This window comes from Homo sapiens, chromosome 5 (assembly GCF_000001405.40).
Source record: "Homo sapiens chromosome 5, GRCh38.p14 Primary Assembly".
NCBI lineage: Eukaryota > Metazoa > Chordata > Mammalia > Primates > Hominidae > Homo > Homo sapiens.
The window spans coordinates 39,128,527-39,152,277 of NC_000005.10; the positions used below are offsets into that span (position 1 = coordinate 39,128,527).

General features: G+C 36.5%; 1 protein-coding gene across 16 annotated transcripts in view; it reads right to left on the minus strand.

Moving 5' to 3' along the window:
* FYB1 (FYN binding protein 1) overlaps nt 1-23,751 on the minus strand; it is a 169,277-nt gene that overhangs the window by 23,275 nt on the left and 122,251 nt on the right. For 15 of the 16 annotated variants that reach the window (XM_006714464.4, XM_047417073.1, XM_047417072.1 and 12 more), the window contains 7 exons: nt 12,569-12,615; nt 10,707-10,726; nt 10,131-10,165; nt 9,074-9,194; nt 6,329-6,488; nt 5,682-5,823; nt 2,064-2,086 (listed from right to left, as the gene is read on the minus strand). In XM_006714464.4, coding sequence (XP_006714527.1) covers nt 2,064-2,086; nt 5,682-5,823; nt 6,329-6,488; nt 9,074-9,194; nt 10,131-10,165; nt 10,707-10,726; nt 12,569-12,615 — 548 coding nt within the window. Of the gene's footprint in view, nt 1-2,063; nt 2,087-5,681; nt 5,824-6,328; nt 6,489-9,073; nt 9,592-10,130; nt 10,166-10,706; nt 10,727-12,568; nt 12,616-23,751 lie in introns of those variants that run through there. The other variant, XM_011514013.4, reaches the window with a different exon arrangement.

Consider the following 23,751-nt stretch of genomic DNA (forward strand, 5'->3'; position numbering starts at 1 on the left):
TTATCATCTAAACAAAAACACTTCCAAAAGTGAAGGAGAATGCTGTTATTAATTGTGCTCTGATGACTGGAATAAGTCAAGACTGTCCTGAACACATTGGAGTGGAGTCACCATACCATCTGTAACAAACTTAAAAGAAAGAAGTGGCTTACTCTGAGTCACTTGCTGGCTAGCTCTAGAATCCAGTTTATTGACTCTCAAGCTAGTGTTCTTTCCATCGTATTAAGATCTCTCTCATTATTTGTAAACTAAAGCATTTTTTTCATTAATATACACAAACATGATGAAGGCTTATGAAGAAATTATTGATAAAAGTGCATGGTTTCCCATGCTCACATATTAGAATAATTAATATTGCTAAAAGGACCATATTACCCAAAGCAATTTACGAATTTAATGTAATCTCTATCAAAATACCAAAGTCATCTTTCACAGAATAGGAAAAACAATCCTTAAATTTGTATGAAATAAAAAAGAGCATTAATAGCCAAAGCAATCCTGAGCAAAAAGAATAAAGCTGGAAGCATCACACTCCCTGATTTTGTGTTGTAACCAATCAGCATACCGTTGGTATAAAAATAGAAACAAAAACCAATGAAACAGAAAACAGAACCCAGAAATAAAGTCACATATTTATAGCCAACTGATTTTAGAAAAAGGCACCAAGAACATACACTGGGGAAAAAACACCCTTATCAGTAAGTGGTGCTGGGAAAACTGGATATCCATATGGAAAAAGAATAAAACTAGGCGCCATCTCTCACCATATATAAAAATCAACTCAAGATAGATTAAGGATTTAAACATAAGACCTAAAAGTATAAAACAACTGTAAGAAAACATAGAGAAAACACTCCAAGACATTGGTCTAGGTAGAGATTTCATGACTAACACCCCAAAAGCACAGGCAACAAAAACAAAAATAGACAAATGGGATTATATTAAACTAAAAGCTTCTGTATGGCAAAGCAATCAACCAACAGAGTGAAGAGATGGCTTGTTGAATGGGAGAAAATATTTGCAAACTATTCATCTCAAAAGGGATGAGTATTCAGAATATACAAAAACTCAATCAATTCAACAGCAAAATTCCCAAACAATCCCATAAAAAGGTGGGCAAAGGATCTAAAAAGACATTTCTTAGAAGAAGACATACAAATGGCCAACAGGCATATGAAAAAATGCTCAACATCACTAATCATCTTACCCCAGTTAGAATGGCTGTTATCAAAAAGAAAAATAGTAACTGATGCTGGCAAGGATGTGGAAAAAAAGAAACTCATACTGTCGGTGGGAATATATATTCATACAGTCATTATGGAGATTTTTCAAAAAAACTAAAAATAGAACTATCATGCAATCCAGCAATCTCACTACTGGATATTTTTCTGAAGGAAAGAGAATCAGTATATCAAATGGATATTTGCATCCCCAAGTGTATTGCAGCACTATTCACAGTAGCAAAGATATAGAATCAACCTAATTATCATTGGATGAATGGATAAAGAAAATTTTGTCTATACGCAATGAAATACTATTTGGTCATAAAAAAAAAAGAATGAAATCATGTCATTTGCAGCAATATGGATGAAACTGGAAGTCATATTAAGTGGAATAAGCCAGATATAGAAAGACAAATACTGCATGTACTCACACATATGTGGGAGCTAAAAAAGTTTGTTTCATGGAGGTAGAGAGTAGAGTGATTGTTACCAGAGGCTGAGAGGGATGTAAGAATGTGTTTGGGGGGACATGAAGAGAGATTGGTGAATGGGTACAAGCATACAGTTAGATAGAAGGAATAAGTTCTAATGCTTAATAGTAGAGTAGGGTGACTATAATTAACAATAATACATTGTACATTTCAATATAGCCAGAAGTGAGAACTCGAAATGTTCTCAACACATAAAAATGATAAATGCTCATGATGATGGATAGCCTAAATACGCTGACTTGAACAATACACATTCTATGCATGTAACAAAATAACACATGTGCTCCATAAATACATGCCAATATATGTATCAATTGTAAAATGTCATTTTAAGAAGCGTGTGGCTTACCTCCACTTCCACTCTGACTGTGGCTAGAAAAGAAACCCAGAAATATTAAGTTAATCTATGAATTACTTAGCTATGAGGAAGAGAAGTACATATCCTGATTAGTTATTCAAAAGAGAAATAACATTCCAGTCGAAAGTTCTTAGAATGCTATATGTAAAGAGGAAAAAATGTTCCTTATCATCATAGATGGGTAATGACAAGGCAACAAAACAAAACAAATAAAAACAACAAGAATTAAGTTAATTATGCACTATATATGATATAGAAAATGATGATATTGTTTGCTTTTGACATTTTTGTATGAGGTTGTTTTCAGATGATACATTATGACATCATTCCATAGATGGACCATTAAAACAAGCCCCAAGGGTATTATTATTCCATAAGTCACATAGAGCAATTATTGTTGCATTAAATTAAATTATCTTTCAATATCTTTTGACCACAGCATTTTACTCCTAGTCTAATAGCAGTCATTTTTCTTTAAAGGGAGAACTTTAAAAAACTTGAAATCTCATTCAGGGGGCTTTTATCTGGTATGACTGCTGAATCTGTAAATCCAGATTGCCTGTGTTTCTTACTTACTTTCACATCATTCTATATTTTCTCTATTTTAGCATTTATGTTATAATTGTCTGTTTTCTTGCCTATATCTCCCACTAAAATGTGATTTCTGTGAGATCAAAGGAAATGTAGACTGTGAGAATGGAAAAAATCCCAGAAATCATCTCTTCAATTCCCTCATTATACAGAAAAGAAACCAGGCTCTGAGAAATTAAGTGACTTGACCACGCCCACTTTTACACCTAGCTGCACTCACTATACCCCCAGTTTTCTGCCAGCAACAGATATCAGTTTAATGTTAGTGTCTTAGAGGACAATTATATAGTACTCATATCTGATTTCCTAACGTTAAAAGTGGGTGAAAGAAATTGATCTGATGCAGATCTCCTGTTAAATTTGAAATAAAAACATAAAGTTGCTGTCAGGAACTTTGTAGGAAAACATGCTAGAAATGTCTTCCTATATAAATAAGGAACTGCTTTTTGAAGAAGTTGCAGTACACTGTCTGCTTGCTTATGTACCATTTTGACATTTATTTTTCCTGACTCTTCCCTCTGAGCATGATGCATGAAGCAGGCAGTTGGAATTATGTGAAGAGCTGCATTCTGCTTGGCTGCCACTCTTGGCAGATACTTTTCATCTTGGATTTTTATACCAATTTCCAAAGAACAGGGTTGTTGGAATAAGGAGCAAAGCTCCTGTTTTATTTCATGTCTAGAGCAATTATTCAACTTCCTAAAATGGCCTGTTTAGAACATTTGATGAAAACATTTGATGAAGTGAAGAAGAGGTAGAGAGAGCAGGATGTGACAGGAGACGAGAGGGAGAGAGAGAGATACATGGAAGGAAGAAGGTTTACTATGAAATGGTAGAGGGGTATTTGCATTTGCAATTCCCTTTTCTTCAATGTTTCATATTTACTGTAGATACTGCTTTAGTGGAGAAGGAAAAGAGAAGGACAGCTGTCAGGGGCTGTGCTTTGAAGCCTCAAAACTGCTCCCGGAGTTTGAAGCACTCACAGCCATTGCTCTTCACTCTAGGGAATCAGGAAAGAGCTGGTAGAGTGCCTGAGCCAGGAATCATGAGCAGGAGGGAGAAGATGATGCCTTCTCTTCTTATTCTTGCCAGGGCAAGCTGCCGGCTACACTCAGCATCTTCCCTTTTTCTAAGAACAAAGCATGTTCTGTTATGAGATCTCTGCCCGCAGCAGCTGCAGTTTCAAAAATAAAACATGTATAGAAATGTCTTCTTCTTTAATTTTCTTAGTAAGGGTGCATAAGAGAGGGCTAGATGCTAGTAAATATTGTGGGGCTATACTTGTTTAAGATACTGAGCATTAAAACCCTACAACTCTTCCAACTTCCTGCTTTTACTAAATATAAGATTCTTTTTTTGTTATATGTTTACTAAAGTAGAGCAGGTTTTTAGAGTCGTGGTATGTATGGATTCAATAAAATGGAAAAAGGTGATAATGCTAGTTTTGGGAAATATTCACCCAATATGGTTAAACAAAGTTTCATTCTAAGAACCTCATTGTTTTTTCTGGATTTGTTATTTTTTTCTTGAGTATGCACATCCATGTAAATATGCGCAAATAATGTAACTGGAATTCTTTCACCAAAAATTAAGGGAGTGTGCTTTTTAAAAAACAAAAGGCACACACAAAGTATATACATTGGTAATATGCTTGACATAGTCATGAAAATTCTGTAAGTTACAGAATGTGACGATTTGGAACTTCATCTGGCCTCAAAACTGGCATTTACTGACTCACACTAGGTCGATGTTTGACTAAAGTCAGTTAATGATCTCCAAACTCTAGTGCATGCATTGTATGTTTTGGTATATGTTGCATAATTTATGTTTAGAACATGGTAAGAAGGCATAGCCGGCTGTAATTCATTTTAGAAAGACAAAACTGCTAGAAAGCAGCATAACAAGCTTAACTGATACCATGATATAAAAGATCATAAGAGGAAAATTTAATTCTTCATGTGCTTTATAAGTGTATTACTAATTTGGTGTTTTAGAAATGGCTGACAATGAAGATTGTTTCCTTTGAAATTTGAGTTATGAAGAATGCAGACACAGTTTTACCCAGGTGAAGAGCTAGCACAGATGATGTTTTTTGGGATCACAATGGAGGTTTCCTAGTTTTATAAAGTAGTCATCAAAAAACTAAAGTTCTGAACTGGACCAGAGATTTTCCTCCTTTCAACTTGAGGGGATTATGGCTTTAAACTGAAAACGGAGGTGTTGGAGGAAAGAAGGAATGAAAGGAGAAAGGGAATGGAAAAGTACAAAAGAGACAAAAGAATGACAAAAAATCAGAGCTGGAACAAAGAGAAGAAGAGGAGAGATGGAGAGAGGAAAGAAGCAGAAGACTAAGAAAGGAAAGAAGAGAAGGAGAGGTACAAGGGAGGGATGGCCAATCTCCTCTCATTGGTCCTCCAGAAAGGATGTTCTATTCTGTTCCTCTATACCAGGAAGGTGTTCCCATAATTCTTGAAGTGAAGGTCATTTTAATCTAGTGGAATGGGCCGTGGAAAGTTGGACCCTTAATTGATACCTAGGGATCATAAAAAAACGGAGTTTTTACTTTTAAGGAGCAAACTGGGGTTGCCATAAAAATCATTTTTTGTCGTATTTTCAAAAAATAACAACAAATATATTTAGAATCAGAGATTTATGAGAAAAAATGGGCTAAATTTTATATTTTATGCTTCATATTTTACCAAATCATATTTCATTAGGCATATCCCTAAGATCAAGTCATAATGAACATTATAAAAGTGTTTTAGAATGAAAACACATTTTACAAGATCTGGCAAATGGCCCACTATATTTCAAGTAGTATTTGATGCATATAATCAAAAGAAAGACTATGGAGTTTCAAACGACCTTTCACCCATGTTGGGGTTATTGTAAGTGGTCATTTAGTTTAGTGATAGAGAGCAGTAGGAGTTATGGAGGGTAAAATTCTAGGATCTTAATATACAAAATTTCTGACAAGGAGACAGTTTGATCTGTTCTACAATACGTACTTGCACATACCTGCTAATATCATCCTGCTCTGCAACATCATCATATACTTCTTGGTCATCTTCAATAGGTCTTGAAGGGGCACCAAGAGAGTCTTTTTTCAGTTTCAAAGAATCATAGTCAATCTCTACAGCAGTTGTTTTAATATAGCCATCTACCAAAAAGGGAAATATTTATGTTCAGGCAACTGTAGTTTAAATATTTTAAAGTTGTGAATAAAATATCAATTGCACATTTGCTCTTTAAACTTTCCCCTGATTTATTTTCTTGTAGTTCTGATTTGTAGACCTCCCAAGTAGACCCAAATTTTACTGTACTCTGTCAAAGTCTAATCCTGTTGTAGTTTAATGTAAGCCTACCTTCTATTTTAAATATTCTAAAGTGATTCACATGAAGCATTTTTTCTTTTTAACATCAATGAAAAACCTAATGCTGTTCGTTCCTCCTGGAATAATATAAAACTGTACGTTGTTTCCCACAATATAGATAACAGATGAGGTGAAGACGGAACTATACCTGCCATTTAACATTTTCCTCCCTTTGTCCACTCTGTAAAGTACTCCTAACTCGATGCCTATGACGAGTTCTGGAGGAATATGTACATTGAATATTGCCTCGCAAAGAAAATACTTCGAAGCCATAGAGAAATTTGCACTCACATGAACCCCTTGCTGTTCTGCCCAACCATTTTCCTTCTGGGTTGTCTGTGATGCGGATGATTTCAATTTGCTCTCCTTGCTTGAAGCTCAGTTCATTCTTTCCTCCTTTGACATCACAACAAGCTTTTGCAAGATGGATGACTTGAATAGGGCCTGTTAGCTGCAAAGAGAAAAAAATAGTCACAAAAGATTTCCTTATAATTTAGAAAATCTTTAAGGAATGCAATTTTGAAAGATATAAGTCTACAACTTGCTAAGCTACCTATAACCAACATTTACAGGGTTTAACCAGAAATTGAGGGTGAATGTTTTTCTTATAGGAGGGGTTAGGGAAAAATCACAGGGGCCAAGCAGGACCAGCTAAGACAGGTGAACATGTGCATGGGGTCAGGAGAGTGAGGCAGGGATCTGTTGACTAGGAATTCTGCAAGAGGCCTGCAAAGGCAGCCCCCAATAACTGAACAGCGTTTATGTACAACAATCCATGCTGTGTGCTATGTATCTTTATGGAATATGCCAGGATTCTGTTCAGAAGATGGAGTTTTTTCCCCTTTGCATTGTTTGTAAAATTGGAGCAGACATTACCTGCTATAAACAAGATAACATTTCAGAAATAAGCTTGTAAATCAAATAATAGCAAGCAAATGTTACACGAGGTTTTTCAAATTAATATTCTGAACAGTATGGTGGCTTATTGATAGAAGGATAATGATGTTGGTTAGACTATGAATCCTAAACTCTTAATTTTCTAATCCTAAATTGGTGTCTTTTCAACAGAATTTCTTGAATCTTTTGATATGCAAATATGCATGACGACTTTTGAAGAAGCTCTACCTTTAATTTATTGAATTTATGATGGCATTAATTATAAACATTTATCATTATCATGTACCACTAAGAAATAAAGAAAATAATGTAAGTTAAGTTATGATATGCCATGATGCTGATGAGGCTCAGTTCTCATATTTATTTAATTTTTTTTACCTATTATCTATTATCATCTTGTGAAAGGAATATGGCTGGTGAAGTCCTAGTTTTGACAGACTTTTGAGTTCATATTTAATGGTATGATTTCCATATCCTATCTTTTCTTACTAAAAATATTATTTGAATGAATGAGATAATGTAAAGCTGAATTCTCCAGAAGAAACATGGAAAAACCCCACATAATTCCTTTAAATCTACAATTTCTTCATGGAAAGTATACTATATAGATTTTTGTTATTTTTTTTTGAGATGGAGTCTCGCTCTGTTGCCCAGGCTAGAGTGCCGAGGCCCGATCTCAGCTCACTGCAAGCTCTGCCTCCCAGGTTCATGCCATTCTCCTGCCTCAGCCTCCCAAGTAGCTGGGACTACAGGTGCCCGCCACCACGCCTGGCCAGTTTTTTGTATTTTTAGTAGATACTGAGTTTCACTGTGTTAGCCAGTATGGTCTCAATCTCCTGAACTCATGATCCACCCACCTCGGCCTCCCAAAGTGCTGGGATTACAGGCCTGAGCCACCACGCCTGGCCTACGATATAGATTTTCATAAATTAATTGAAATTAATTTTTCACTTGAAAAATATAAAGATTGGTAGTCATGCATTCTGTATAAGTAAAATGTTCTAATATTAATACGGTAATCATAATTTTACTTACATATAGCAAGCTTTTTCAAAATCAAATGAGAATCTTATGATACAGTGTATGCTCTGCATTATTTTAGTTCCATAACAAACTTTCTGGAGTAGTATCATTTATCCTTACTTAAAAGATTAAGAATCAGCGGCTCAGAGAAGTTAAGTGAGAAGCCCAAGATCACATAACTTGTATGTGCAACTGGAATTTGAATCAGTTTGTCTGGCTGACTTGATGCTATACATTTTCCTTGCACCATGCATTGAACCTTTGCTTTAATGCAATAAATATACCGGGAAGTTATATATAAATCATTTTTAAAGAAATTTGAACCACATATTAAATGCTCCAGAGGAATAAAAATACTTAAAGAAACCATACAGTGAATTCTTTTTGAAAGAATAATTTTGTAATTCAGATAATCACCCTAAATATGTCTGACATGCCAGACCCATGCCAGATGAGCCATGTCATCAAAGATGGTGTAGCCAGGAGAAAATAGCCCCTGAGTGTAGCGTTTACTGGTGGTAGTAATGGTAGAAAACACACAATTACCAGAGATCAGAGAATACAGAGGTCAGAATCCAGACAGACAAAGAGGGATGAGAAACAGCAGTTATCAGAAGTCAGCATGTACACAGACTTAAAGGCAACAATATAACTCATGTATAGATACTAGCAATTAGAGTAGATCATGGAAATCTTATTCTGAGACAGGTCTGGTTCACCCTGGAGGCACTTGTGTCCAATGCCCCCCTATAATACATACCACAGGGATATTTATGTGTGTGATGCTAATTCATAGTATAAGTAGGCTAATATGAAATGCATTATGGGGAGAGACAAGATGGGTTTGAAAAGGTAAATATTCATTCACTCAATCAACATAAAATTTCCTGGGTGTCCACTAATTATGAACCAATATATTTATTTAAATTTTATTATATTAGTTCAGGGATAAAATGGTGTATTGGACAAAAAAGTACTGTTATGAAGATAATTACTCTTTAGAGAATAATGAATAAGTAATTCTTCAACTATGTAAGTTTTCAAGAATGGTACCCCTTTTGTGTGAAAGGTATAAAAAGATGTTATTCTTTCACTCATTAGCAAGCAAGCCCTTACTTTAAATTTCTTCTTTATTTCTTGTTCTTTCTTTTCTTTCTCTTTCTGTTCCTTTTTCTCCAGCTCTAACCTCTTCTTTTCTTCCTTTTCCCTTTTCTTCTCTCTTTCTTTGGATGCTTCTCTGTGAGTAAAAATTGTTAGGTTGTTTTCACATCTGCAGGTGTTGATGCGTCGGAACTCCCTACCTAGAAGTTTCTACTCACAACAGAAAAGGTGGTATCTGAAGTACAGTTGAAGGTAAAAAGCGAAAGGTTGTCAAAATCCGGAATGTGTGAGATTATTTTTAAAACCAGTAGGAGGCACACTGCTGAGGATACCTTCCAAAGGCTCTGCTTTCCCTGACAACTTGTGCCAGCAAGTGGAAGCCACCGTTTATAGAGGCCCCATTCTTGCTGTATGTTCGCATAAATAGAATCCATCTCTTTTTCTCTCTTTCATATGCACACGTGCCTGTGCATTCACAGGTACACATATAAACCTTGGCTCTGAAACTTGAGTCAGAATTGGTTGAATAAACACTGGGTAGAGAAAATTAAGGTATCTGAGATCAACATATGATAAAGTAAGATAATATATTCATTTCTACTTTCACCCACTTTCCAAGAAATTTCGTTTCCAAGAAACTTCTTTGTTTAACATCTTTCCACTTTAGCAGCTGACACTCTGACCTCTGGGCGTCATGATAAATTATTTTTCATAGCACCCCGTGGGTGGAGCTCTGTTCAGGTGAAGAAGGCGTAACATAAATTAACTCATCTGCCCAAGGATACACTAAGAGTAAGAAATCAGATTTCTGTCTCTGATTCCCTGACTGTGGTTTATCTCAGAGGCATGTCTCTGGCCTCTCACACAATAGCTTTTTAACAGAGTCCTTTGTAGAATTCTTAGAGAACTAAATAATTTTGGGTCCTTTAAATTGAAATAAAAGTTATTATACGCCAGTCATTTGAACAAATCAAGCTTCCCTCCTAGTGTTGTTATATACCCACTCTCCCTCATACAAAACATTATATTCATCTTTGAAGAAAACTGTCATGGTAAAAAATGTAATTCATACATGTCTTCATATGTTTCTCCTTCACTGTCTTGTTCCTGTAAAGAAAAACATTGATAATGATTAATTTTTATTATTTAAAAAGTTGACACACATATTACATTGCTTAGACTTAAAATGAAGGCAACAATGTAAATTTTTATAATTTGAACCACATATTAAATGGTCCAGAGGAATAACTACTTAAAGGAGCCATACTGTGAATTATTTTTGAAAGAATAATTCAAATACTCAGTAAAACAACTATTGTATGTAAGTTTGGCTTATTTAAAATATTTTTTTTCTCCTTAGAAATAGACTGGGAAAGCAAAAACAAAATTTCCTTTTCTATCTTGCTATATAAATCAGACGTGTAGTCAGACTTAAGTTTGTTCAGCACTACAGCATTATAATGAGTCAGTGTGATGACTAGTGTGTAACATCTTAAGCATTTTAGATGAAATAAGATTAGAAATGGAAAAATATCATTGCTCATAAGGATTTTCATTTGTTTGTTTTGTACCAATACGGAGTGAATCATAATACTTGTGAAATATTCTGATTATGTCAATATAATATGAGAAGAGAAAAAAATCTGACCTCATCTAGATTTCCAGCACCTAAAAGATTAAAAAAATAAAATTTAATACATTTGTAATAAGGAAGCACTTTAATGTAAGATTATTGGATATGATATAATAATATTCAAAATAGTTCATAATCTAACAGAACTTATGCTTTATCAAAGATACAGAAATAGAAAATCAAATACGTACTTTAGATCTTTACTATGGCTTTTATTTGTGCTGGTGACTTAATTATAAAATCATTTCATTGGCTTTCATAAAATAATGCAAAGGGCGAAAAATAATTAATACACTGTTTATTACCTTTATGAAAAGGGATGTCCATTTGGTTTTCTGGGCTTGCATGGAAAAAGGTATTAAAAAATCACTGTTTCACACCTTTTTACTTATTAGTTCCCAAGGATTTGTTTTTATGTATCAAACAAATCAAGTTAATTGGATTAAAAAAATTTAATAAGAGTTCAGTGTAATATCAAAACTAATTACTGAATATTGAAACAGAATCCAATATTAAGAGCAATAATATAATAATATTAATAATAAAAACAGTGTGGTGTTGGTATAAGAACAGGCAAATAGACCAATGGAATAGAGCAGAAAATTCAGTGACATACACAAATGTACATAAACACACCCATAATATACACATACACACACATAGAGCTGATATAATATAAAGGTAGCACTATAAATTAATGAGAAAAGGATGGATTGTTTAGAGTACAGTAAGGAGAAAACTGGCTCCATACATGAGGCAATTCTGGATTTCTACTAACTCCTCAAAGGGGACTGCAAAGAGATCAAAGACCTAAATATATTTATGTGATAAAGTCTACAGGAAAAAATGAGAACATTTTTATTTTCTAGGAAAAAAGACTTCTTAAATAGCATGAATTACAAGGCAAAATTAATACATTCGATTATATCAAAATTTATTTACATTCAATGAAGGACAGCATGGGCTAAGTTAATAGACAACTGACCGAATGGGAGAAGATATTTGCAATGTTTGAAGTTGACATGACATTAATGTCTGAAATATAAAGGAACCCCTACAAGTTAACTAGAAAAATATACCACTCCCAATACAAAAAATGGTCAAAAGGTAGAAACTGGCAACTTACAGAAGAAGAAACCACAAAGGCTTATAAGCAAATAAAGTGCTCAAACTCAAGAGTAAGCAGAGATATAGAAATTAAAAGGAGATATAATTTGATTCACATAAGAAAAAAATGGAAAGCTGAATAACAGGACCGATTGATGAGAGTGTAGATAGATGCATCTCTTCTGGAGAGCATGCCTGTCATACTCGGTCAACCTAAGTATTCCACAGCTCTTAGCAACCATTCCACTTCAGGGTATATATCTTAAGGATAAGTCTCTGAGAGGTCCGCATGGGGATGAATACAAGAAGGTGTATTGCATTGTTGTTTGTGGTACCAGTGAGTTTGAGGCAAGTGAAATGTGGATGCATACCATGGAGTACAGTGCAGTCGTTAACAGTAACAGGCTAAACACACACATGGTGATATGAATGGGCCCCAAAACCACATTATGCTGATTGTACAAAAAGACGAGAGAAACCTATAACATACTCTTTCTGTGAACTAAATACATGCATACATGTCACAATATGTGAAGAATTTGTGCAAACACACATACACATTAAATATGTTAGAATATTTGTCTGTAGTAAGGAAGGAGGAGAAAGGAAGTGAGTCATGAGGATAAGAGGGAATAAACAAATAAAACGAGAGGGGCCTTGCACAGACCAGTGATGATAATGACCCATTAATGAGCCTATAAGAATGAATAGCTCAAACTTCTGTACCTGAGTTTACAAATAAATAAATAAAATATGTTTTTGTCGTTTACCATCAGAGTGCGTGACACCATCTTGATTGTCTTCATTGACAGGGCTTCTGAAAACGAGAAAGAAGAAACAGTGAACATGGAACAAGTAGATGCTCACCTTACAATGAAAAAGGGAAAAGGATTATTTCATGAATTGTTCTTTTTTCTTGAACCTTTGCTCTGATTTAAAGCTTCAGACATCACTAGCATAGGCTTTAGCCTTATACTTCTGCTGCTCCTGTGGCAGAAAATGGAGAATTGGGAAACTGGAGTATAGCACCATCTATTCATAGTAGACTCATACAATTAATCCGTTGCTTCTGGAGGGTAATATGTTTCCCATTATATTAGTAGTAAATCAACACTTCAATTCTGGGATTATGAGGGCATTTAATTGGTTCTATGGTACACACACAAAAGAGAATTAGTTCTAGGGCTGGGCACCATGGCTCACACCTGTAATCCCAGCACTTTGGGAAGCTGAGGCAGATGGATCACTTGAAGTCAGGAGTTCCAGACCAGCCTGGGCAACAGGGCAAAACACCGTCTCTCCTAAAAACATTAGGTTGGTGCAAAAGTAATTATGGTTTTTGACATAAAACCAATGATAAAAGTCACAATTACTTTTGCACCGACCTAATACAAAAAATTAGCCTGGCATGGTAGTGCACGTCTGTAACCCCAGCTACTCAGGAGGCTGAGGTAGGAGAATTGCTTAAGCCTGGGATGTGGAGGTTGCAGTGAGCTAAGATCGCACCACTGCACTCCAGCCTGTGCAATAGAGTAAGATTCTGTCTCAGAAAAAAAAAAAAAAAACTTACATAGTTCCAATCCCTGACTCCTTCCTTTTCTCCAGATGCTTTTGTCTTGGCTTCACTTTTATCACCCTGAACTCCAAGGTGCTTCATTCCAATGGCTTCACTCCAACTGCCCTTAATAGCATTATCAATACCTGGGCCTTACAAATCCCTAATTATGTATATGACCATTTATATTTTCTATTCCTATTCTCAGTTAATTAACATAGCTGGAGAAAATGGCCGTCAATTTTACTGACTCTGGACATTACAAACAATTGGTATTAAATCTCAGCTGTATCCCCCCTGCTTTTCTACAATCCCATCACTCTTTTTTGTGTAGTCAGCCTTCTCTTGCGTTGTCCTTCTCCATACCTATTAAAAATGTTTACCACTTTCTTCAATGTGTGATTCCTCTCCACTCCCCTATAATCAGATGACCTTGTTTCTTCTTTCACTGATGAAGCAGCAGTCATTAGGTGTGAGCTCTCTTAAGAAAATACATTTTCTTAACCCACAAACTCATCTGCAGTTATACTCATCCTTACCTTCTCTCTACTCTCTGCACCTGTATTCTGAATTTGATCTGAATTCTCAGTAATTTTCTGAGAATCCATTGATTACCCCCTTTCTTCCATGTGTTGCTTTATTACTTATATTCTCCTTACTTCACTCTTTGCCCTTAAATCTCTCATTCTTTGTTTTCTCCCTCAGCCCAAGTTACTGCCATTCATAAGAAACAAACACTTCACTTTACCTCTGTGAATTCTTCACATTACCACAAGATATTCTTCCTTTATCCAGCCAAGCTAAGAAAAAATTGTCTTTATTCACTGACTCTACTTCCTCTTCTCTCACGCATTTCTTTCCCGACTGCAATCTTTCCCCTATTGCCACTTCTTCCCTGAGAGTATTCTTAAAAATACTAGCTACCAAATCCACTGGACCCTCTCAAACTGCATCTCACTTGATTGCTTTGTGGCCCTGGACAGTATTGGCCATTTTGCCCTCTTTGAGTCTCCTTTGTTTGTTTCCATGAGAAATAGCTCCTGGCTCGCTTCTTGTCTCTCTGGCTACTACCTCACAATTTTCTTTGTGGTTTATTTTCTTTTGCCTTCTCTTAAATGATGATGTTCTGTTGTGTTCTGGTCTTGGTTCTCTTCTTCTTTTTTCACTTTGCAGTTTTTCCTAAATGGTTTTATGTACCTCCATAGCTTTATATATGATCTTAATGTTGGCAAATTCCATGTTGAAATCTCTAGCCCAGCCTTCTCTTCTGAGATTCCGATTCAAATATATACATCTTGGGTGTCCTACAGCCAGTTCTGTATTATCATCTCAGAAACTGAGGTTCCCTCCTTTTAGCCCAGCCTAAACCTGCTCTCCCTACTAGGTTTCTTTTCTTGGTGGATGGCACCACAATTCACATATCTATCAAGCAGCAACTCATCCTTTGTTTGTCACTCATCTTCAGTTCCATGTCAAATCAATCATCAAATTACACCAGTTCCCCATACTAATTTACTTCCCTCTTCCATTTCTCGTCTCTCCCGCTAGACACAAAAATAGGATTATATTATCTCTGGAGTGGACTGTTGCAGTAGTCATCTGGTCAGTGTCCTGGTAATCAGAATTACTCCTTCTCTTCCCTATCCTGATAGTCCCTTCTCCAACTTTTGCCATCTTTCTAACACAAAAATATGATTATATCACTCTCATGTCCCATAGTCAAACTCCTTAAAGAGTTAGGAAAGAATATTACTTGAACAAGAGATGCTGGTTGTAAAATGTGTGTTTCACCACATTTGAAGAATGTGGGCTGGAAGTGACTTTTTATCACTAAAACCATAAAATGGGCTCAGTGGATACATTTGTAACTCAGGAAGAACTGTCATGGATATCTGTCTCAGTCTCTACTTGAGATGGTAAATATAGGTAGGGACTAACTGTTAATCTAATAAACTCACTTTAAAAAAATAGAAAATTAAAAATTTAACTTATATATGCTTAGCTTTCTATTTGGGTAAGTGTAAAGGCCCTGTTAATTAACTCATTAAATTTGTCATGACAAGACACTTGTTTTCTTTAGTGAGTCTTTTTCATCCTTGGAACATTCAGAATTAAATACAGACATGATGGAATAAGCCAAACTCATAGTAAAAACAATTTGTGGAGTAAGTTTTATAACCATTGGGATAATGTATGTACAGTCAATTTTTTAAGTATCTGTAATATTTAAGAGATTTGTTACATTAGAAAATATTCAGTTAGACTTGTCACATCAATTTAAAATTTGTGGTGTAGACTTTCTAAATTTTAGCTGAAACATTAAGGAGTCTGGGTATTGAGTGTCAATGGCTGCTCACATCAAAAAAGGAGAGTCAAGTGAACATTATTAGTTCCCGATAAAAGAATACACCAAAAAATAAAAGAACTACATTTGATCCAGCCACCTCTACCTCTCACTCTCAATGTATAGGAAATACAGAGGAGACAGGGACATATAGCTATATTATAGAGAGCAATCAGCAAAATCTAGATGATGGGGAACTATAGTATCCACAAACAACTTGATATCCTCAACAAATAAATTGCAAAGAATTAAAAAAAGACATGGAGAGTGAACTTATATCTTAAAAGAGAATAACAGGCTGGGCGCAGTGGCTCATGCCTGTAATCCCAGCACTTTGGGAGTCTGAGGTGGGTGGATCATCTGAGGTCAGGAGTTCGAGACCAGCCTGGTCAACATGGTGAAACCCCGTCTCTACTAAAAATACAAAAATTAGCCGAGTGTGGTGGCGGGCGTCTGTAATCCCAGCTACCTGGGAGGCTGAGGCACGAGAATCTATTGAACCCGGGAGGTGGAGATTGCAGTGAGCCAAGATCGTGCCACTGCACTCTAGACTGGATAACAGAGCGAAACTGTGTCTCAAAAAAAAACCAAAAAACAACAACAAAATACAAAACATATATGCCAACGTAGATGTGTATACTTTGGATTCTTATTCAAACAACTTAAAACACATATATGTTGTAAGAGATAATTGGAAATTTGAACACTGACTTGGTATTTTATATTAATGCACAGAATCTATTTTTTTAGGAATAACTACTGAAATATTTATAGATGAAATTATATGATGTTTTGTATTAGTTTCAAAATAATATAAGAGGCAAGTGGGTGAGGGTATAGATAAGACAAGATTGGCCATGAGTTTATAGTTGTCGAAGTTGGTGAAAGGAACGTGGAGGCTCGTTATACTATTCTTCCTGCCTTTTATATGCTTAACATTTTTTACAATAAATATACTTCTTAAAAAGCATAAGAAAAATCTAATTGCAAATGCTATTGGATATTTAAGGGAACTGGATATGGTTCAATTTAATAGATTTATGAGAGTCATTTAAATTCTTGAGAGGATTTTGCTTAGTGGGGTGATTAAGTGTGTTCATTCAGATATTTGGAATGTTTAAAAATGAAATTAAATATGTTAATATATACACGCAATATGAAACATCGCAAGAAGTTTCATTAACCACATTTATAAACAGAACTATTGATTTGAAAGAATTTAGTTTGAGCCATGTGAGTTGTCCAATCATTAATCAAAGATCCCCTGAAAATAATTCTAATTTAAATACAAATTACTAGATGTATAAATAAAATAACAAGTCACATAATATAAATTTAAGTACTTAAAGGAAAATAGGCCTTTGCATTACTAATTTTGATGAATTGAATATTAATTAAAAAGATGAAAATACCTAAGACATTAAAATACACTGACATTGTACAGAGTAAAATCCATAGCTCTTTTTATGGCATACAAGGTTCTTATGATCAATCTTGCCCTGTAAAGCTTTATTTCTCATATTTCCTTTTCTTACATTATCTTCTCACATATTAACAGTAAACTCACATGCTGTCTGAACTCTCTCTGGTTTCTTGTTCCTTCATGCTCAGCCCACGCTTCCCTTCTTTGGAATAATCCTCCCTTCTCAGCATCCCCTGCTTGTGGTCCTCCCATTCTTTTTTTTTTTCTTTTTTTTTCTTTTTTTTAAGACAGAGTCTCACTCTGTTGCCCAGGCTGGAGTGCAGTGGTGCAAACGTGGCTCGCTGCAACTTCTGTCTCCCGGGTTCAAGGGATTCTCCTGCCTCAGCCTCCCAGGTAGCTGGGATTCTACAGATGCCTGCCACCATGCCCGGCTAATTTTTGTATTTTTAATAGAGACAGGGTTTCACCATGTTGGCTAGGCTGGTCTTGAACTCCTAACCTCAGGTGATTCACCTGCCTCAGCCTCCCAAAGTGCTAGGATTACAGGCGTGAGACACTGCACCTGGCCTCCATTCTTTAAGCCTCTCCTTAAACAGTCCTTCCTTTGTGAAGTTGTCCCTGATTTCCTTAAGCCTAATCATTGCATTGCTTCTCTGCATCATCCATCCATTCATCCATTATAGTGATTATTCTGTATTCCTTCGTAATTATGGGGTAATTGCTTCAGGTTTCTCTTTTCACTACCAGGCCATAAACACCTTAAGGAAAGGGATTGTCACTTTGCTAGTTAATTTATTATTATGATTATCCTTTTAGAGAGTTATTAGAATAATTCCTGTCATGATAGGCTTTTGATTTTTTTGATGAATTAACAATATTCCAGTAACAACAAGAGACTAACTTTTATTACTAAAGCAAATTATCATTGGTGAAAAGGATGTTAAATCAAAAAGACCACCAGATTTAAGCAATTTACTTCCTAAAACACCTGTATGAATAACAAATACTTCTAAAAGGAAGGGTATTTGCATAGCACATTCATACACGTGTGTCTGCACATTTATGCAAAGCATTTATTACTTGTAGACAATGTTTGCCTGCACACATTTGTTTTATTTATGGACCCAAAATTATAGCATATGAATCTTAGTGCCACTTTATATAGGCCTGAATTTATAATATGTATATTATTAATATTCAATAAATATGAAATAGTGACTATAATAGCAATGATGGTGAAGAATAAAAGGAAAAGAAATGAGGAAAATAAATAGGTGCAGGTGCCATGAGTAAATCCAGATCAAACTGTCAGCAAATTCGCTAAGGGTTCCAAGCATTGAGAAAAGCCCCATACAGAGAGTAAGAGAAAAACAATGGAACCAGTCACAGCCCAAGTCATAAGAAACTGAGCAGAAGGAGGGGGTGAATGAGAAGAAAAAGAAGCTTATCAGTTATGATAATAGGTCTATTCAATAAGGCCTCTCACTATAGATCTTTGTTTTTATGCTATAGCATGTAGAATTAAATAGGAAAAGTAAAGTTAATGACTGTCATTTTTAGAAAGCTTATTAGTGCTTTATTTCCTGATGTATAAAGATGTAAAACTGTTGACCTCTATACTTTTCTTTTCTTTTTTTTTTGGAGACAGGATCTTACTCTGTCCCCCAGGCTGGAGTGTAGTGGAGAGATCATGGCTCACTGCAGGCTGGACCTCTCAGGCTCGGGGATCCTCCTACCACAGCCTCCCAAGTAGCTGAGACGACAGGCACGTGTTACCATGCCCAGCTAAACTTTTGTACATATGCCTGTGTGTGTGTGTGTGTGTGTGTGTGTGTGTGTGTCTGTGTGTGTGTATTTAAATTTAAAATACAATATAACTTTGGCCTCAACTACTTTATTTTCAAAGTTATTTAGGATTGCTGATTCTCACCTGTCTCGAATCTTTTATGCTATTAAGACATCCAGACTTGAATGATATGATTGCAAGTTACTTCTGGGAACAGCTTTAGGAGTAGGCAGAACAGACTGCAGATGATAAAGTCCACCTTGTCTTTTTTTTTTTTTTTTTTCTTTTTTTGAGACGGAGTCTTGCTCTGTCGCCCAGGCTCACTGCAAGCTCCGCCTCCCAGGTTCACGCCATTCTCCTGCCTCAGCCTCCCGAGTAGCTGGGACTGCAGGCGCCCGCCACCACGCCCGGCTAATTTTTTGTATTTTTAGTAGAGACGGGGTTTCACCGTGTTAGTCAGGATGGTCTCAATCTCCTGACCTTGTGATCTGCTCTCCTCGGCCTCCCAAGGTGCTGGGATTACAGGCGTGAGCCACCGCGCCCGGCAAGTCCACCCTGTCTTCTAAAATTCCTTCCTTGATCCCAATTAGAGATTCCACTCTACACCCTAGGGAGAATTGTAAACCTTAGGGAAGCCATTGCTCCCCGCTGCTCTAATGCCCGGCTCCTGCAATTCTTCCCTTTCTCCACCCTTATCATTATATGTATATTATATGTATTTTTTATATATATATATATATATATATATATATATATATATATATATATATATATATTTGTAGACGCAGGGTTTCATCATATTGCTCAAGCTGGTCTTGAATTCCTGGATTCATGTGATTGGCTCACCTCGGCCTCCCAAAGTGCTGGGATTATAGGCATGAGCCACCATGCCCAGCTGGCCTTTTACTTTATTGGCTATTCATGCATTTAGCTTTTAATTATCAGCAGGTTTTTTTTTTTTTTTTTTTTTTTTTTTTTTTTTTTTTAAAGAAGGAGGAAGAAATCTACATGACACATTAAACTTTGTTCTATACCTGCCTTACTGGGAGTAAAATCTTGCGGCCTTTTCTCTGGAACATGTCTTCCTATATTTAACCCACGAGGAATTTGAAAACTGACTTGTTTAAGCCAACACTTTCCAACTAGTGTGAGAGAAGACTATCTGGCAGCTGGCTACTGATACGGCAAGTCTCAAGTTTCAGAACATTTTAAGCATCTCTAATTAATGAAAAGGTTATAATGGTAAATTCTTACTTTTCCTCCAATTTTACAGACAAAAAATAAAACACACACATAAACAGAAACCAAAAAACCCTTTAAACTAACTATGAATGACTTCAGGGTAAGAACTGTTGAACCTTCCCTTTTCTAACCTTAGTCACTTCCCATTATTTACTATTTTTTATTACATCACTTTTCCTGTCTCATTACTATTAATAACCATGTAATTTGTTTGATATGCCAAAACACAACCATTGATTCTGTTTCAATATGAAAAATTATGATGTTAAAATTATAATTTAAAAAGGTACCAAGAAATGTATTACACTAAAAGGTGTTGATTTGAACATTAAAAATGATAAACATGCTCTTTTGACCCATTTCATTTTCTCTTCAAATGCCTGAGTAAAAATAGCAGAAAATGTAACAAACTGATTTCTGACCACTAGGTGGGGAAACAATACAATTTAAAATACAATATAACTTTGGCCTCAACTACTTTATTTTCAGTTATTTAGGATTTCTGATTCTCACCTGTCTGGAATCTTTTACACTCTTAAAACATCCTGACCTGAATGATATGATTGCAAGTTACTTCTGGGAACAGCTTTAGGAGTAGGCAGAACAGGCTGCAGATGATAAAGTCCACCCTGTCTTCTAAAATTCCTTCCTTGATCCCAATTAGAGATTCCACTCCACATGCTAGGGAGAACTGTAAACCTTAGGGAAGCCATTGCTCCCTGCTGCTCTAATGCTTGGCTCCTGCAATTCTCCCCTCTCTCCACCCTTACCATTTTTCCCTCTTGACTGGATCTTTCCATCAGCCTACAAAAGTGCTGTTATTTCCATCTTTAAAAAGGCTCTTGATCTCATTTCTCCCATCAGTTACTGTCCCATTTCTTTGGTTGCCCTTTCTTTGTAAAGGAGTTGTTTATATTTGCTCTGTCCAATTCCTCTCCTTTCATACTCTTTTAAAGCCATTTCAATCAGCCTTGTATCGCCACCACTCCTGACAACTTCCCCTGCACTGACCTCCACAGTCCTCACTTTTTGGCCTCCACCAGCACCTGACACAGTTTCTCACTGACTCCTCCTTGGATGCTTCCTTTCCTGGGCTTCCAAGACCCCGGCGTTATTGATTGTTCCTGTTATTCTCCTTTGCCCCTTCTCCTCCTCCCAGGCCTCAGAGAGTTACAGTGCCCCAGAGCTCAGTTCCTTTCTTCTCTGTTTACACTCCCTTCCTTGGTCATCTTAACCAGCCTTATGACTTTCAGTGTGAAATGTGTTCCTATTTCTCTCCTATTTTAAACCCAGAACTTCTTACCCAATTGGATGCTTAAAAGGTACCTCAAACTTAACATAGCCATGACCTCCAGATCTTCCTCACCTTTGTTAAACAAAACTTGTTCACCTTTGTTAAACAAAATCTAGGAGGCCATTTTTTTTCGACTAAATTCCCGCACTGGGCCCCAGAAGACCAGATTAAAAATCAAAATGGAGTCACCCACGCTCACCAAACTGAAACTGAGTTGTTATCTGGCCTTTTGGGAAATCAGGAGAGAGAGAGAATGGCCTAGCTGCCTGAAGAGGCCAGTTTTCGCTTTCTGTCATAATAATGAAGCTCTGTTTTAATCTTTACAGGAAAGACTGACCTGAAGTACCTGATGTTAACCAACCCATTATCTTTCTATTGTTCTATCTCCCTGTACCTGCCTTACAAGGAAAGTAACTTTGAAATGACCAATCCACTTTTTGGTTTTTGTTTCTGCTTTCTTTAGTTCTTTTTGTTTATAAAGCCAACCTCCTCTGCTTCAATCTTTGGAACACTTACTTTACTTTATGGAACAAAGTGTTGCCCAATTTTAGACGTGCAAATAGAAACTCTTGAGATCTTTAGATCTGTTGTGATTTTAACATCTTCATCCTTTGACATCTTCAGCCTCCTCATGGTGGTGCTTGGGCTGATGGAAGCATGATACTTACAGTTGCTTGGGCCAAAAACACTGGAACCACCCATTCTAGATTCCCATTTTCCTTCATACACTAAATCCAAATTCTTTTGTCTCTCTCTTCAAAATACACCCAACATATGGACACTTCTCACCACCTCCACTGTTCCCATCATGGTCAGTGCTACTGCATACCTTGCCTGCATTTCTGTGATATCTAACAGATTTCCCTGCTTTGACAATTGTCTACCTACTGTCTCTTCTCAGCATAGCCATTAAGGTGATTTTTATAAAGCACAAGTCAGAAAATGTCACTGCTCTGATGTAGCTCTTTGAGTGGTTCCCATTTCACTCAAGATAAGCGCTGCAATCTCTATCATGGCTTACAAGGCCCTACATAAGCTGACTCTTTCCCTACCATTCCTTCCCTTGCTCTCTCTACCTGCGCTCTGTGCCTAGAACAGTCTTCCTTCATGTCTAACTCCCTTACTTCCTTTGAATCTTTGCTCAAGTATCATTTTCTATTAGGTTGGTGCAAAAGTATAAATATATACTTCTCTCAAGCAGCAACATGCTGTCCCCAATGCCACCCTCACACTCCACCTCCACCACTTACCTCTGCTCCGTTTTCCCTTTAGGAAATATGTTAGGAAGTATCAAGTGCTAATACCATATTCTTTACCTGTTTATTATTTATTTATTTTTGAGATAGGGTCTTGCTCTGTCACCCAGGCTGGAGTGCAGTGGCACAATTATGGCTCACTGCAGCCTCGACTTCCTGGGCTGAAGCAATTCTCCTGCCTCAGCCTCCTGAGTATCTGGGTCTACAGGCATGCACCATCATGCCCAGCTAATTTTCAAATGCTTAGTAGAGACAGGGTCTCGCTATATTGCCCAGGCTGGTCTCAAACTCCTGAGCTCAAGCGATCCTCCCACCTCTGTCTTTCGAAGTGTTGGGATTACAGGTGTGAGCCACCATGCCCAGCCCTGTTTATTATTTTCATTTCTTTAGTTTCTTGGTCCCTGCTTTGCAGGGGTCTTTGTTTGTTTACTAATATTTCCTGAACTCCTATTACAAAAGCACAATGTAGTGGCTCAAAAAATACTTGTTGCATGACTGTAAAGGAAATCTATTAGATCTTGACTTGAGAGTGGTCTTTGATTAGAAAAGGGAGGAACGTTTGCAGGTTGGCAGAGGGAATGTTTGGGAAATACTCATGTATGTGTTTTGAGGACTGGTGCTGTGAGAAGCACAGAAACACCTATATCTTTCACAATTCTTCTTACAGACTACCCCATACATTGCCCCTTCATGTGAAATATAAACTTTTGAGCCCAAACATCAAGGCCCATTTTGGTTTCATTTCCTCTATGTATTTCTAGCTTCCCCTTCTTGGGGAAAATTTTCTAACCCAGAGATTTCTTCGTTGTGGAATTTACTTGAGCTTTCTGATGGGAGCTTGAAAGTCTTTCACTATACATATTTTCCCTTTTGAAAAAGTAGCTGGATATCATGGAGGATTAGAGGCTTTAAACTGACATCCATAAATTCAAATGCCTTGAAGGGTGTGCAGCCCATTAATATAAATGCACAACGCAGGTCATATGTAAGATAATAGCCAGGAAGCTGCTCTAGCACCTTCTACTTACTATCCTTAAACCCCCAAGAAAGCAT